Below are 17,072 nucleotides of genomic sequence, written 5' to 3'. Positions count from 1 at the left end.
CTCGTCATCCGCCTTCCTCGGCCTCCCAAAGTGCTAGGATTACAGGCATGAACCACCGTGCCCGGCCTGCTTTACCTTTTTAATGAAGCTACTTGTGATAGGTTAAATAATGGTATCCAAATAGATCCACTTCCTAAGCCCTGGACCCTGAGACCATCATGTTATATGTCAAAGGGGTCAATATTCCCTTATATGGAAAAAGATGGCACTGTCTATGAACCCTGGTGCCAGGACCCCAGTATTGCCTACAGTGGCTGGATATGAGTTATTGGGTTGAATTTTCTTCTGTTGGGGAAAGAGAGTACATTTGGGATTGTCACTGGAATAGTTGAGCCTTGTTAGGCAGAGGCATCTTTGAAAATTTGTACATATGGGATAATGTATACTTGTGTCACACAGCAGGCTGCCATGGGTAAGACATCTGTTGAGTTGTCTGCTCGGCCACTTCTCCCTGGGGCACCCAGTAGTCATGATGGACAACATGACCCCATCCCCTGACTCATCTTGATTGCATCAGGATGGGAACCTGATCCAAGCTGGACCACTCAGAGTCTCTTTTGTTGACATATAGACCTGAGGGAAAAAGGGACCTAATATCTAAGCTCAGAAGCTATGGGTTGGGCATTTTCTACCCCCATCTGGACCAGACAAGCAAAAGGTAACAGGCAGGAGGTCAGGGGGAATAGTAATTAGAGAGGCAGGGCAAGTTCTAACAATAGCTGAGTCTCTAGTACCGGTTCCTTCCTGAGGCCACTTTGCCTTTGAATTGGGTTCTGTGGAACATACTATATCTTCATAATAAATCCCTCTTTTCAGCTTAGGCTAGTTTAAGCTGATTTTCCTTAGATTCTACCAAAAGAATTCAACTGAAAGACCTTCTCACAGATGAGTTGTGAGGAGCTACTATACTTGATATGAAAAGTAGGTTGGAAATAATGCAGCGCCCTAGAGAGGCTAGTTGCGCAATTATGATCAAGGCAGCCCCCATCACTGCTCTAGCGGTGACTTTGCTCCAGCTTTGAGAAGCCCTGACCCCACTGTCTCTTCTCCAAAGCCTGTGGCACAGACCCCTGCCCCAAACTATCCCGTTTCCTCATTTTTGAGAAACCACCCACATAGCTGCTGTCCTTCCAGGAAAGTTTTGCCTTTTCTTCTCTCTCTCTCCTTTTTTTTTTTTTTTTTTTGTTTAGACAGAGTCTCATTCTTTTGCTCAGGCTACAGTACAGTGATGCAATCATAGCTCACTGTAACCACGAACTCCTGGGCTCAAGGGATCCCCCTGTTTAGGCCTCCTGAAGTGCTGGGATTACAGGTGTGAGCCATGGCACCCAGCCCTTTCTGTCTCTTTTTAAACTAAAGCACAGGATAGACCCTTGGACTAAATCATCTCTAAAATTCCTTGCAGATTTGCTATTTTGTGATCCTGAGTCTCTTTCATGGTCCGCTCAACTCCTCTGCTCAGATTCATTACCGGGTGATAATGAACAGTCCCTCCCTCAGGGAGTTGCTCTGAAGATTGCACGTCACAGCGCATGTGAGGTGCCTAACAACATTCCTGGCACATGGAAAATGCTCAATCCAGGAATAGCTAATAATTATGATGAAAAAATAAAATAAAATGGGCAATGCACACTCCAATCCCTCCCTCATCTTTTTGTTTAATACCTTTTTTTATTTTTAAAGATAGAGATAGGGTTTCACTATATTGCCCAGGCTGATCTCAAACTCCTGAGCTCAAGCGATCCTCCCAGCTTGGCCTCCCAAACTGCTGAGATTATAGCCATGAGTCACTGCACCCGGCCCCTCCCTCATCCTGATGGATCCTTCACTAGCTGTCTGAGCTCTAAATGTACAGTTCCATAGTCTTGTCCCCCAGTACCCTTGCTTTACCCCTGAACTTACTCTTCAGGTTTCCCTTTCTCTCTAGACCACCAGTGTTTTGGCTTCTGCTGGGATGCCCCTCCACTGCAGTGGGCTGTGAAATTCTCTGCAAGGTTCTCTGCATAGAACTTGCACTCAATTAGCAGGGCATGGTGGTGGCTGCCTGTAATCCTAGCTACTTGGGAGGCTAAGGCCAGAGCATTGTTTGAACCCGGGAGGCGGAGGTTGCAGTGAGCAGAGATGGTGCCACTGCATTCCAGCCTGGGTGACGGAGCGAGAACAAAACAAACAAACAAACAAAAAAACACAGACACACACAACACATAAAACACTCAACTCAAAACATATTATTTAGTGTCTATTACTGCCTTAGGGATACAGGAGAAGGAGGGTGAAAGGAGATGTAACAGTACTCTAAATCAGCTGTCCCCAATCTTTTTGGCACCAGGGACCAGTTTCATGGGAGACAATTTTTCCACAGACTGGGGGCAGGGTGGTTTCAAGATGATCCCAGCTCATTACATTTATTGTGCACTTTATTTCTATTATTATTACAATACACAATGAAATAATTATATAACTCACCATAATGTAGAGTCAGTGGGAGCCCTGAGCTTGTTTTCCTGCAACTAGACGGTCCCATCTAGGAGTGATGGGAGATAGCGACAGATCATCGGGCATTAGATTCTCAAAAGGAGCCCACAACCCAGATTCCTCACATGCACAGTTCACAGTAGGGTTCATACTCCTATGAAAATCTAATACCAGCTGGGCGCAGTGGCTCACGCCTGTAATCCCAGCACTTTGGGAGGCTGAGGTGGGCGGATCATGAGGTCAAGAGATTGAGACCATGCTGGCCAACATGGTGAAACCCTGTCTCTACTACAAATACAAAAATTAGCTGGACATGGTGGCACGTGCCTATAGTCCCTGCTACTCGGGAGGCTGAGGCAGGAGAATCACTTGAATCCGGGAGGCAGAGGTTGCAGTGAGCGGAGATCATGCCACTGCACTCCAGCCTGGTGACAGAGCGAGAATCCGTCTCAAAAAAAAAAAAAAAAAAAAATCTAATGCCACCACTGATCTGACAGGAGGCAGGGCCCAGGTGGTAATGTGAGTGATGGGGAGTGGCTGTAAATACAGGTGAAATTTTGCTTGCTTACCCGCCATTCACCTCCCACTGTGCGGCCCAGTTCCTAACATGCCACAAACCTGTACCTATCCATGGCCCAGGGGTTGGGAATCCCTTCTCTAAATAGTTTCAACCTCAGGAAATGTAATATTCTGTGGTAGATATCAGACTTATACACTCGAAATAGAAACGAATACAGCCCTGACTCTGACTGCCAAAATATTAAATGGAAGAGAAGTGACCAAAGTGAGCTAGAATTACCCAGGAAATCTTTATGGAAGAAATGATATTCCAAAAGAGCTTTAACAAATTTCAAAAGAGCTTTAATAAATTTAAAAAGAGAGTCAGAGTCTTTTTTTTTTTTTTTTTTTTTTTTACAGCTTGCTTTCCAATAAGCCAAATGTACCAGCTTCTTTGTTTTTCAACGGATTGGTGTGTCCATTTGATACAAGAAAATGGAAACTGAACAGCCAGAGGAAACCTTCCCTAACATCGAAATCAACAGTGACTCTGGTAAACATCCTGCAGAAGACATGAAAGAGGAAAAAGCATTTAAAGATCTAGAAACACTGATGAGATGGTTGAATTAGGCATTCTGCTTCAGAGCAGAATGCTGGGGCAGTGACTGGAAAAGGAAGCAAGAATATGAAGTTTCTCCGTACAGACCACAATGCCAATGCTTTAGTCCCAGACAGCAGGGGCCCCGAGCAGCATGTCCCAACAGTTTATGCCTCACTGCCTGATTAGAAAAAGAGAAATGTATTTTATTACCTACCTTTTATATAATTAAGTAGTATCTCCTTTAGATGGTGGAAAAAATTTTTAGAAGATTTTGAATAGGTGGCAAGGATAATAACGTAAGCTTTATTAAATATTTTTAATTACAGGCATTCTATCTTATTCTGGTCATTTAAACAAAACAATCAGAAGTTGAAGAAAGAGGGAAAAAGGAGAACAAAAAGTAGTTTTAGTTTAGTCTTAGTTGCAGCTCTTCATTCCACTCTCCTTATTAAGCCTTGCCAGACCTGCGGTTTGCAGAGCCAGGATGAATTACATATATGCTCACCTTTTATGTTGCATCATTATGAGCCAAATATAAGCAGCAAATCATCAAATGCTTACCTGTATAAACTACATTACTTCAAGAATCCTGAAAGTCAGCTCGTGGTGGTGTCATTTCTGAGGGGCAGAAGCAGAATCTATCCCAAAACTTACTCTTGTTTTTTAGGTCACTTTTCAGAGGAAGGAGTGAGTTAGTAGTTACCAATACACAGTGCCACCAGATTACACAGTTGCCCTGGCAAGAGTCTCTCCAAATGGTTTTATTCTCTAGCAGTTATAGAAAAATCAAAATTTATCAAAGTGCATACAGTATATATCTGTGCTCTGATTTAAGCTGCCTCAAATTCTTTCCTCAGAATAAAAGGGTACTAAGTAAGAAAAACACTTGTGTGAAATGTATCTGCTGTCAATTTTTCTTTTGATTTAATTTTATTTTTTCAACATGTAAAACATGAATGTTTCCAAAGCCAAAATTAGATTCTAAGGTACATTCAGAGAAATCATTCTTCCATCCCAACTCCAACCTGTTCTCTTCCTTCTCTCATAAACGTTTAATTAATTTTTGGCTTATCCTACTAGTGTGTCTTTTCACAAATATAACCAAATTCACACACACACACACACACACACACACACACACACCCCCATATTCATATTTCTCTCCCTTTTTGCCCCCAAAATAGCATAATACCATTTTATGATTTGGCACCTTGCTTTTCTCACTTAACAAAATATTCTACAGATTATTCCATATCAGTATATAGAATTCTTCCCCATTCCTTTTTACAGCACACATTTTGAAGCATCTGTGTGGTCCCTTTAAAAATATTATTAAGGAAGTCATTAAAAGCGATAACTATAACTCTTGGCAGAATTTAGCTAGCTAATTCTAGCTTATCTACAGCAAATGACAGTTTCAGGATCATTTACCCATTCCCCTCACCTCCTAACTCCACTTCTGGCATGTGCTGAGAGTACAGAAACTGACTAATAATTAGCCCAGGCAAATTACACCTAGGCTTTGGGCTGGAATAGCAAAAGTAAAACTTAACAACCGGGACGAAGCAAGTAACTTCTCTTTTTGCTCTCTTGGAATCTGGCAACTGGGCAGAAATCATGACTTTATCAATAGGATGATGTTTACATGAACACAAATAAATAGGCTGAAATCGTAGACTTCCCCTTATCACATTCCCAACGAGCCATGGAGCATAATTACTCGTGGCCCAAATATAGAACTGTGAGGCTTAAATTTACACCTCGTCTACCCTATATTGGAGATTTGTGACTCAAAACTAGACACCAATCTCTAGGACTAAGCCTTCCATCAAAGTTGTTAAATAAGTTGGCTATACTAAATACATGATATAGGATAATTGCATGGAATCAATGAAGATAACCCTGTTGGGTCAAGCTTACACAAATCAATATGGCATCTGCTCCCAAACCATGTTCACTGCTACAATCCCAACTTGACATCATTGGGTTCCTCAAGTCAAGGAGGTCTGAGTTGCAGAGTTCTAGAACTGGATAACCTTAAACGTGATCTTTCATTTTGCCCTTTGCTGCAGATGTTCCTTGGTGAGGGGTCGGTGGGGGGTGGGGGGTTACTTGAATCCATTCATTTAAGATCAATTTCAGAAAAAAAGGTAAATTAGACATGTATGTAACTTTTAGTCTTTCTTTCTGCATTAGCTCCTTTAAAAAATTAGAGTTAATAATTTTAGGCACCAAAATGATATTGCTGGTCATTTACGAAATTGTTTTGCAATTTCGTAACTTTTTCCATGCTCTGAACTCAGTGCTACCTTGCACTTCCAATAAAGTTTTATAATTTTTTTAAACTTTTAAAAAATAAACTTATATATGCCCATTGCATTAAACACAGAAAAGTATACACAGGAAGGAATAATCAGCCATATTCATACCACTCAGCAATAACTATCCACTGTGAATAGTTGAGCATATTTTCTTCCAGCATGTTTTTTCTACATGTATTTTTTTCTTACACTATTGAGTGTAGTTTGTAAATCTTATAATGATTTTTGACCAAAAGTCATCAAGTCTAAGACTTTATAAATAGAAGATAAAGCTGTACCTTCCAAAAGAAAACACCCAATGACTTGGGGATATCTTTTTGGCTTCTGGGTAATTAAAAAGAAATTCCCTACTCATTCTCATCACTTACATTCTGAAGTTATCTTTTCAAACAACAAAGTTTAAAAAGAGAGCCTGGGTGCAGTGGCTCACACCTGTAATCCCAGAATTTTGGGAGGCCAAGGTGAGTGGATCACCTAAGGTCAGGAGTTCAAGACCAGCCTGGCCAACATGGTGAAACCCTGTCTGTACTAAAAATACAAAAAACTAGCCAGGTGTGGTAGTGCACACCTGTAATCCCAGCTACCTGGGAGGCTGAGGCAGGAGAATCGCTTGAATCTGGGAGGTGGAGGTTGCAGCGAGCTCAGATCGCGCCATTGCACTCCAACCTGGGTCCAGTGACAAGAGCGAAACTCCACCTCAAAAATAAAATAAAATAAATTAGATAAATAAATAAATAAAAAGAGAGAGGGAGAAGGCAACATTTCACGTTTGGGTCAAGATGGCTGGCAGGCTGGCTACCGCAGCATCAGACAGGTAGCTGGATGGTATTTGAAAATGGTATGACAATGCTGCAGGATTCGAGAAACTAAAGTAAATGTGAGATGAGACAATATATGAAGATGAAGATGTAAAGGAAGCCATAAGACGGCTTTCTAACGGCAGGATGTTTCGCATTAGAACACTGGACCTATGAGACAGCAGATCTTGCCTTAACAGCAGCGGACCAAACATGAAGAGGATAAATTCTACCATGAGCCATATCTGAAAGCGCTTATTTGGGAAAGAAAAGAATGAGAATGGTCAAAGAAGTCATCACATATTTGAAGTCCGTGGATGTAGCTGTCCTCCAAGTATTTTTATGAAAATGGTTAAACCTGAAACATATAATTTAAGAATTATTTGGTCTGCCAATGTTTCACTTTAAATAAAAGTCTATTGTAATATTAAAAAAACAAAAAAATAAAAAATAAAGAGGAGCCCAAAAATCTCTTTGAAATCTGTTTCAGATTTTGACTGTGACAGAAAAAATAATGAAATGTCTCATTAGTTTCCATGTTGCCACAGTGTTACTGAAATTCATAGGCCTTTAAAATCTAAAAAGGGCTCTTTGCCATAATCAGAGATGACACTTCCAAATCACTCATTTAAAAAATGCACTTTTAGAACACTCAAACAAGGATGATGACCTTTCATTGATCCACTGGAATTTTCTCATCATTCCCCTAAAGACCAAAGGTGTGCATTCACATCAGGCAGCGGGGGCTGTGGCGGTCCTTGTCCAGAGACCAATGAAAGCAAACTGGACTTGATGGAGATCGATCTAGGACCTCATCAATCCCACATTCTAGACAAAGGTCAGTGTAATTAGATTGCTCTAAGTAAAATGAGCCCATGAAACCTAGAATAACAGAATGATAAACCATGAGGTGATATTTGTTTTAGGAAAAAAAAAACCTCTTTCCCAGAGAATTCCTTTAAATAACAAGCTCCCTTTTTGTATATTTAAGTTAGATTCAAATATATTAAAACACACCTTTCAGGAACTTGCTCCTGAAGACAGTCCTGTCCACATGAACCTCCTGTTTTGCTGGGAAATCTTTTAAATACAGTATTGCTATTTGACACATTTAACAATAAATACTTACCAAGTTTAATTTTAATCATAGGGAATGTAATTTGAGGTTACATCAGAGCTACAAGGTAAATTAGCTTCCTATTTTTCAAAGCCTGCTCAAATTGTGTGGAATTTCAAAAAAGTATTTTAAAAAGGATGCAAAATATGGAAATATTTATTTATTTATTTATTATTTTTTGAGAGGGAGTCTCACTCTGTCACCCAGGCTGGAGTGCCATGGGTGACGCTGCAACCTCCGTCTTCCGGGTTCAAACCATTCTCCTGCCTTAGCCTCTTGAGTAGCTGGGGCTACCGGCGCCCACCGCTCACGCCCGGCCTATGGAAACATTTAACACTTTCAAAGTAGTTGGGAAATACCTGAACCCAGGATATTGAGGTCTCAAGCTCACTATTTACAAAAGCTTTACAAAGCTAAATTGTGAGTTAATCGGTTCATTCTAGGTACAAGATAGTTTCTTACTTTTAATAATAAATTACTTTACTTCGTTATATTTATTAAATGCAGAGATGTGTGTGAGAGTTGGTATAAAATAGTAAGACCACGATAGGCTACATACTATGCCAGGCCCACTACAAAATGAAAATGCAGAGACCCTTGTTCAAATTCAAGAGTGCAACAGCAGCGCGTTAGTCCTTTTAAGTGCGGGCCCTCTGTGACTTCACAGATCGCACGCCCGTGAAGCCAGCCCTGCCCAGAGTCCCTTTTCATTCACTGGGTCCTCCTCCCTCGCGTCACAGTCCTGGGGTGCGGGGATGCTGGCGTTGCTGTCACACTGCCGAGCTTTAGGTCAAACTCTCAGCACCGCGACTAGTTACCCTGAAATCACTGGGGCCCGGTATTACAAAACAGAACACACTTTCCTCTTTCTTCCCCTTTATTTAAAAGAGATGATAGGCTTTACGAGTTATTTTTAATAGAAATTTTTTACAATGAAAAGAATTCGGGCGTACTGTTTGCAAACTGCAGCAGACAGGTCTGAGCGCCCCAGAAGGCGGCCGGCCCCAGCCTGGGAGCCTGCGGGGACCACTCCCTGCTGCCCTGGCGCATGTCCTCCAGGGACACGGGCCACCGTTGCCCCTGGAAACCCTGGGGGACAGGCTCCCTCCTGGGCGACCTTTCCACGTTTCTTTCGCCCCCCCCGGAGCGGCACCTCCATACCTCCCGGGCCGCTAGTCCCCCGAAGCAGGCCCCAGCCCCGGCGCAAGCTGCCTCCTCCGCAGTCCCCGCCCGCCGCCAGCCCGGCCACCGCCGGACGGCGCCCTTCCCAGCCCCGCGCCCCGCTCCCCAGCCCTCCTCGCGCGTCCGAGCCCACGTCGCTTGCCCCGGCTGCCAAGTCTTCCAGACGGCCGGGCCCTCCCGGCACAGCGCGGGAACCCCGGCCCCCGGCCCCACGGGACGAGGGCTACAGGGCCCGGCCGGCGAGCCAGGGCACCCCGGGGTCTCCAGGCGGCCCACCGCCCTCACCCCCCACCGGCGTCCCCAAGCCCCCAGACCGTCCCCGCCGCGCCCTCAGCGCCGCCGCCCCCGGGCCGGCCGAGGCTCCGCGGCGAGTCCCGCCCAGCGCCCCGGAGGCGCCAGCCCCACGGCCCGAGCGTGCGCAGCGCCCCCCGCGGCCGCGCCAAGCGCAGGCGACGGCACAGGAAAGGAGGCCGCGGCGCGCCCGGCCCGGCCCCCTCCCCAGCCCGCCCCCGGGGCCGCTGGCGGTGTCCGCGCCTCCGCGCCCGCCCCTGATTTCCTCCGGGCGGCGGCGGCGGCGGCGGCGCCTCGTGCGCGCGGTTATTTATTTCCGGGCCCCAGAGCGCTTATAATGGAGCCGCTGTCAGCAGAACCTTCTGCCGCCGCCGCCGCCGCCGCCGTCCCTCCTCTTTTTTTTCCCGGCAGATCTTTGTTGTGTGGGAGGGCAGCAGGGATGGACTTGAGCTTGCGGATCCCCTGCTAGAGCAGCCGCGCTCGGAGAAGGCGCCGCAGCCGCGAGGAGGAGCCGCCGCCGCCGCGCCCGAGGCCCCGCCGCCCGCGGCCTCTGTCGGCCCGCGCCCCGCTCGCCCCGTCGCCCCGTCGCCCCTCGCCTCCCCGCAGAGTCCCCTCGCGGCAGCAGATGTGTGTGGGGTCAGCCCACGGCGGGGACTATGGTGAAATTCCCGGCGCTCACGCACTACTGGCCCCTGATCCGGTTCTTGGTGCCCCTGGGCATCACCAACATAGCCATCGACTTCGGGGAGCAGGTAAGCCCCGGCCCCGCGCCCCACGCCCGCTCGCCCTGCCTTGGCCTTACACGCCCGGACACGGGGGCGGAGGGGAGTCACCTGCTCCGAGTCCCTCTTTATCCTGAAACATTTGGTCGGGTGTGCAGCTTGTCAAGGGTGACTTTTCCAGCACCCCATTCCCTCCCTCCCTCCCCTCAATTATTCAGCAGACTTTTCCAGCCCTCTCTGGAAAATGTTAAAAAGACTGGATGGTGTGAAGCTTCACCTATGGAAGGGTTTTTAGTGCACGGCAGTATTATGTAATTTGCGATTATGTAAACCTCAGCTCTAATTAAAATGTAGTTTCTAGTAGCTTAAGTGCTGGGTTTTTATTTACCCATGGCTGGTGGTAATGGTGACGGTGGGGAGATTCTGTTTTATAATGCGTCCAAGTTGATTTCCCAGGTACTTCCATTTTTAAACATTTGTTTCGTAGTCCAGGTAAGGATTAGGGGTATCCCGAATGTGTCCTGATAAGCCGGTCTTGACCATTTATTTCTAGTTTGGGATTTCTTTTTTTTCCTTTTCCTTTTCTTTTTTTTTCTTTCTTTCTTTCTTTCTTTTTTTTTTTTCATGGACCACTAAAGAAGGGGAGCACATTTTTGTTTGGGGTCGCCTTCTCGTCCTTGTTTCTTTTCACGTTTTCTCCATGTGGCGTCATTGAAAATCTAGCGCTGCAAGCTCTCCAGCGATGGGGCATTGGCACCCTGCACTTTGCATGTGGGGACCGTTTTGGCAGGGCCACCAGCGGGATGCAGCTGCGTTCTAAGGCCGGGGAGAGGATTTGGTGATGGGGAGGCAGTGACATGCCACCCTGATGGGCAGGTGTCCCAAGTGGCCAGAGCGTGTGACGAGCGGCACTCCTGTATTGTGGTACTGTCTTTCTTCTTTCCTTTTAAGTCAAGAGACTTAAACGGATATTTATCTAGAATATGCACCTATTTTGATGCAGTACTCATTGTAAAAGTAAAACAGCTTTCAGGAGGCAGTTACAAATCGGAGATTTGTGTGACTCCTTCGTTTGACGAATATCTGTTTGGATTTGTCTTTCTGTGCTCAAAACTTTTGAATAATTGCAACTCTGTAAGCTCTCTAATATGTAGCCCACATTGTAAGCTACTTTTTACTTTGAATTTTGTTGGTGATAGGTGTTCACAATATGGCATATTCTCTAGAGACCTTTGTTTACCGCGCCAGCCAATGTCCTTTGATAAAATCTTGTCTCTTCCGTTGCCACTGTGCCCTGCCAGTGCCTCACAAGGGTACCCCAAGGGCTTCTTCCCTGCTCCACCCTGTACCCGCCCACCTTCCCTTCTTTCTATAGTAACTGGTGACTTTGAACACTTCCTACAATCCGTAGAAAAGCTTTTAGACACGAATTTACTACATTGCCCATTTTAGATGAGTCAAATGCTGTATATTCACTCGAGCCTTTCCTATTTTAAGGCTTACCTTCTTGGAGCTGCCCCAAAGGTTGTCAGAAAGCCCAGGCTGCTCATCTGAACTGGTGTGTGTTTGTGTGCATGTAAGAATCATATCGAGATAACTAGTGGAAATAAGAGTAGTCTGTGTCATCATTAAACCACCTGACGCATACCACAATATTGCCTCCCTTTTGCCTTGATTTAATGAAAGGCTGACATAACTAGGTTTGATTTTAGTATAAGAAAAAGAATCTCCTGAAGTCACAAAAGGGAGGTTAAACATAAGAGACAACTATCCAGATGGTTTATCCTCGCAGGTCTAATAATTCTAACTCATCCTTAAAACATTGCTAACCTGATTATCATGGCTGATGTAAGCAAAGTACTTAATGGAGTTGTGTTTTTGCAGAGAAGCAAAATGTTATCAACAAGTGTCATTTGAGGTCCTTTTCCCAAAAACACCAGAGTATGAGGTTATAGGCTGCCTGGAGGGCGGAGATATTTTATCACAGAGTTAAGGGTGGAGAAATGGGGAGAAGAAATTGATAGGTTTTCCAAACCTTGCTTTGCCTTCTGGTGTCAGATGATAATTGTTTTTGCAAAATGCTGCAGGGTGAGAGAGAGTGAGACTGACTTACTCTTTTCAGCATTAAACTGGAGGGAAAGAATTACAGTGGGAGCTGAAGAGTGACCTGGTATGTGTGGGTGATGAATAGAAGAACACTTTACCCCAATTCTTCTGAAGCACAGTAAAGAGGAGGAGAAATGAACCAGTTTGCAAAAGTGGGTCTACGTTAGCTGAAAATATGCAGCCCTTGAGTTTATATGGAGTTCTAGACAGATGGACACATGTAGGTACTGCCGCTGAGTGGGCAGGTGTATTACACCTTGCTGGGAGTGAATGATGGCTTATTTGTCAGCGATTTACAAATCCTAAGATGGAGAGGTAGCACGGGAGTACAAAGGCCAATGCAGCCTCAGGTTCACGTGCTTTTGAGATGATTAAGAAATGCAAAGTTAGGCTGGGCAAGGTGGCTCATGCCTATGATCGTAGCACTTGGGGAGATCAATCCTAGCACTTTGGGAGGCTTAGGCTAGAGGATTGCTTAGGCTAAGGTGGGAGGATCGCTTGAGCTCAGGAGTTCAAAACCAGCCTGGGCAACATAGTGAAACCTCGTCTCTATTAAAAAAAAAAAAAGGCCAGGTGCTATAGCTCACACCTGTAATCCCGGCACTTTGGGAGGTGAGGTGGATGGATCACTTGAGGTCAGGAGTTCGAGACCAGCCTGGCCAACATGATGAAATTCTATCTCTACTAAAAAATACAAACAAACAAAAAATTAGCCAGGCATGGTATTGCATGCCTGTAATCCTAGCTACTCAGGAGGCTGAGGTGGGAGAATTGCATTGAACCCCAGGAGGCAGGGGTTGCAGTAAGCCAAGACTGTACCACTGCACCCTCCAGCCTGGGCGACAGAGCAAGACTCCGTCTAAAAAAAAAAAAAAAAAGAAATGCAAAATTAAAAAATAAAACCTCTCATGAGCTTTTAAGTTCCTGGCTTGTCAAGAACAAAACAATAGCAAAATTATGTTAAATGTTTCTTAGATGAGGTGTTTTATGATGATAAATATCACAGTTTATGGTTTCTTTTAAAAACATGTACAGATCTTTTGAAATGGAAATCCAGCTATGTATAAGATTCCACTGAAAGTTAAATAAGCTGCACATACGTGACCATGTAAAGGAATTACCTGTTAATGACCCCAGAGCCAGTGTGTGTGGAGGGGCTAGGAAAGAGCCTGTAACAGTCTCTCCAGAAACTTCTGATATTCTCCATGAACATTACCTGTTGTATATAGATTTCTTAGTCATTTTATAGCTCAGTCAGGGAGGAAACCAAATCTTATGGACTATTTCCTCTAACAAAACTAGCAAAACCTATTATCACATTTTTTCAATTTTGGTAGTGGCAGTAATTTGAGGTGGTGGGGGGAGCGTTTGAATTTTGTACTAAAAAAAGCTCTATGGAATAAAATGATCTGCTTTTAATATTAAACATAGGCACCATAGAAAATGGGAACACCTTTGGGAGGCCGAGGCGGGTGGATCATGAGGTCAGGAGATCGAGACCATCCTGGCTAACAAGGTGAAACCCCGTCTCTACTAAAAATACAAAAAATTAGCCAGGCGCGGTGGCGGGTGCCTGTAGTCCCAGCTACTCGGGAGGCTGAGGCAGGAGAATGGCGTGAACCCGGGAAGCGGAGCTTGCAGTGAGCCGAGATTGCGCCACTGCAGTCCGCAGTCCGGCCTGGGCGACAGAGCGAGACTCCGTCTCAAAAAAAAAAAGAAAATGGGAACACATCTCCTTTTGCAGAAACTGAAGAAACGTTTATATTATAGAGCCCTATAGGTATATAAAATACTTTACAATCATTGTATATCTAGAATTATTTTATCTCAATTTTTACAGATTGAGAATCAAAAGTATTAATCACGTACATTGATTGAGCACCTAGTATGTGCCTGTATCTCAGCATATGATATATATGAGGAAACAATGAGAGGCCTACGCTTGTTAAGGTACTTGTTCAAGATGACACGGGTAGTAAATGGCAGAGCTAAGGTTCAAGCCCATACCCACCTGGTCTTTATAAATTTAGGAATAAGTTCTAGCTTTTCTGATTCCCAGACTAGGTCTAAATTTAATCTTAGCTGTCGTATATTGAATTTTTTTTTTTTTTTTTTTTTTTGAGACTGAGTCTCACTTGTTGCCCAGGCTAGAGTACAGTGGTGTGATCTTGGCTCAATGCAGCCACCATTTCCCAGGCTCAAGCGATTCTCCTGCCTCAGTCCCCCGAGTAGCGGGGACTACAGGCGTGCACCACCACCCCCGGCTAATTTTTGTATATTTTGTAGAGACGGGGTTTCACCATGTTGCCCAGGCTGGTCTTCAACTCCTGAGCTCACGTGATCCACCTACCTTGGCCTTCCAAAACGTGAGCCACCACATCTGGCCTGTATATTGAATTTTAAAAACTCAACAGATGTAGGATGATTAAAAGGAGGGCTTCCAGGAAAGGGATATTATGACCAAGAAGTTCATTTTAAGAAAAGCTTAATTACCCAGATAATTAAGTCAACACTGTATCTTATTTTAACAAGGTTGGCATAGCTTTTGGTCAAGGGGGGATGAAAGAAACAACTGATACCTCACAATAAAGTTATTTAGAAGTCACTTGGTCTTTGTCATTAAAACAATACAGATTGCTAAGGAAAGGAGCATGTTGAGATAGTTTTTAAAAAATATATTTCTTTTAAAGTATCTGCAAATGTCCATTTGATCTCACCATGTCCAAAGAATTGTTATTCTGTTTAAATTTGGTTCAGAGTCCCCAATTTCCTTAAAAGCCAAATTCACCAAATGACATAGAACAAATTAGTGAGCTTTTTAAAAAGGTACTCAGTATTACTTAAAATATTAAGGGCAACGTTGCTGTGAAGACCTTGAAGGAGAAAAGAAAGTTGAAATTGTTCTCACTTAAGAAATGTGTTCTGCCTAGGGCCAGGTGATCTACTCTTTCATGCTCAAAGGAGAAATGGTGCCAGGCGCGGTGGCTCACGCCTGTAATCCCAGCACTTTGGGAGGCCAAGGCAGGTGGATCACCTGAGGTCAGGAGTTCAAGAGCAGCCTGGCCAACATGAAGAAACCCCGTCTCTACTAAAAATACAAAATTAGCGGGGCATGATGGCAGGCACCTGTAATCCCAGCTACTTGGGAGGCTGAGGCAGGAGAATCTTTTGAACCTGGGAGGCGGAGGTTGCAGTGAGCTGAGACCGCACTGAATACCTCAATACCTTTCAGATACTTTAGATATTTCAAATTGCCTTGTATGATTCACTGAATTTGGTTGGGTCTAATATGATAATTCAAAGACCAGAGCTGTTTATCTGTGAATGGAGAGTTTTGCACATGAATTGTGACAATTCCTGGAATAAGATGTGTAATAGGAGTGTTCATATATCTTCAGCCCTTTCTATTTAGGAAACCTAGAGTTAGGCTTCCACAGTATAAGAGGGTTCCAAATTATTAATATCACAAGATGGACAAAAAGAGAAGCCCAGGAAAAATAGCTTGGAGAAGTGCACCCTCTCCACACCTCCTCCCAAAGTATAACAAAAGTATTTCATTCGATTAGGAGGAATAGGAATAAAAAGGACAGATGCAGTATATGGCACTGGCTTCAACAGGGAAGAGACTCTTCATCAAAAGTCACTGAGCAATGGAGAGGACCTCCTTTGACAGTGCTTAAGAGCTTGCCTTAAGGAACATGACAGGGATCTGTTGTAAGATCCACTTCCTAAAGTGCTTAAAGAAAGAAATGGAAATCTCAAGCTAAGGCTCCGAGTCACTGTGAGGGAGACTTTCCCCCTCCAGTCTATTCTGTAGTAACAGAATAAATTTCAAAATAATTATTTTTCCTAATTATAAATAGAAGTAATATCAGCTAATTGTTTAAAGTTTGGTAAATATTTTTTAAATGTGAAAAAATGCCTCTAATTTCACTCCTAAAACTCATTTAACAATTTGGGTATCTCCTGCCAATTTATTATTTTATTTAATTTATTATCATTATTATTATTTTTTGAGACGGAGTTTTGTTCTTGTTGCCCAGGCTGGAGTGCAATGGTGTGATCTCAGCTCACCACAACCTCCGCCTCCCGGGTTCAAGTGATTCTCCTGCCTCAGCCTCCCAAGTAGCTGGGATTACAGGCATGCGTCACCATGCCTGGCTAATTTTATATTTTTAGTAGTGACAGGGTTTCTCCATGTTGGTCAGGCTGGTGTCGAATTCCTGACCTCAGGTCGTCCCCCTGCCTCGGCCTCCCAAAGTGCTGGGATTACAGGCGTGAGCCACCACGCCTGGCCGCCGATTTATTTTTATAACATAATTGAGGAAATATATGTGTATGTGGGGTATGTGTGTGTGTGGGGTAAGTGTGTGTGTGTATACATTATATATACACACATATAAAAAATGGTGTGTATGTGTGTATGTTTCACAAAACACAGAAGCATTTTCCCTAAACTATTTAAAAGTATTTAAGTATGATTTTAAATTGCAGCATAATATGTGGTTATGAGAGCATGCTGTAATTCCTTTTGCATGTATTACCTTATTGTTAAACACAGGTTTGTTTGTTTTTGCAATATAAAGTTTCAATGAACATCTTTGTGTATTAAGTAGGTAATGTGTTTTCTCTGACTGCCTTGGGCTTTATGCCTGGCATAATTTGGTGCCTATTTCAGTGTCCAATTCATACATAGAAAATGAGGTCATGCCTTTCTTACAGTCCATATTTAGTCAAGGACACTGTGACCTCCTTAGTCCACTTGGTACTTACTTCCCTGCTGTGTTTCCCAGTTTTCTTTAGATGTCCATCTGCATTTAAAATACCTCTCTTAGGATGACTTAGGTAAGCGGGTTGTTTCTAGAGCCACAGAGGTATAATCCTGAGGTTGGTTTGTTTACTCGTTTACTCATTCATTTATTTATTGAGGTGGTTTGATGACCAGCCTAGATACTAATCTAT

The 17,072-nt window shown here is 43.9% G+C and overlaps 1 protein-coding gene and 2 pseudogenes across 2 annotated transcripts in view, besides 4 other annotated features; all 3 read left to right on the top strand.

Moving 5' to 3' along the window:
• On the top strand, window positions 3,437-3,791 carry HNRNPKP5 (heterogeneous nuclear ribonucleoprotein K pseudogene 5; annotated as a pseudogene).
• UQCRBP3 (ubiquinol-cytochrome c reductase binding protein pseudogene 3) lies at window positions 6,675-6,985 on the top strand (annotated as a pseudogene).
• Window positions 8,979-9,238: a silencer, noted in NCBI's record as "silent region_15946". NCBI's record gives its function as "represses an Ori minimal core promoter by ATAC-STARR-seq in GM12878 lymphoblastoid cells {active_cell/tissue: GM12878}" and the evidence as "EXISTENCE:reporter gene assay evidence [ECO:0000049][PMID:35858748]".
• Window positions 9,249-9,598: a silencer, noted in NCBI's record as "silent region_15945". NCBI's record gives its function as "represses an Ori minimal core promoter by ATAC-STARR-seq in GM12878 lymphoblastoid cells {active_cell/tissue: GM12878}" and the evidence as "EXISTENCE:reporter gene assay evidence [ECO:0000049][PMID:35858748]".
• The window catches only part of ANKH (ANKH inorganic pyrophosphate transport regulator), a 166,979-nt gene continuing 159,514 nt past the window's right edge, over window positions 9,608-17,072 (top strand). For both annotated transcript variants that reach the window (NM_054027.6, XM_011514067.2), the window contains exon 1: window positions 9,608-10,034. In NM_054027.6, coding sequence (NP_473368.1) covers window positions 9,939-10,034 — 96 coding nt within the window. In that variant the 5' untranslated portion in view covers window positions 9,608-9,938. The remainder of the gene's footprint in view (window positions 10,035-17,072) is intronic.
• Window positions 9,779-9,868: a silencer, noted in NCBI's record as "silent region_15944". NCBI's record gives its function as "represses an Ori minimal core promoter by ATAC-STARR-seq in GM12878 lymphoblastoid cells {active_cell/tissue: GM12878}" and the evidence as "EXISTENCE:reporter gene assay evidence [ECO:0000049][PMID:35858748]".
• Window positions 10,927-10,976: an enhancer, noted in NCBI's record as "active region_22417". NCBI's record gives its function as "activates an Ori minimal core promoter by ATAC-STARR-seq in GM12878 lymphoblastoid cells {active_cell/tissue: GM12878}" and the evidence as "EXISTENCE:reporter gene assay evidence [ECO:0000049][PMID:35858748]".

This window comes from Homo sapiens, chromosome 5, assembly GCF_000001405.40.
Source record: "Homo sapiens chromosome 5, GRCh38.p14 Primary Assembly".
NCBI classification, from domain to species: domain Eukaryota; kingdom Metazoa; phylum Chordata; class Mammalia; order Primates; family Hominidae; genus Homo; species Homo sapiens.
The sequence above is the reverse complement of the archived record's forward strand: the minus strand, read 5'-3'. Positions and strand labels throughout refer to the sequence as shown.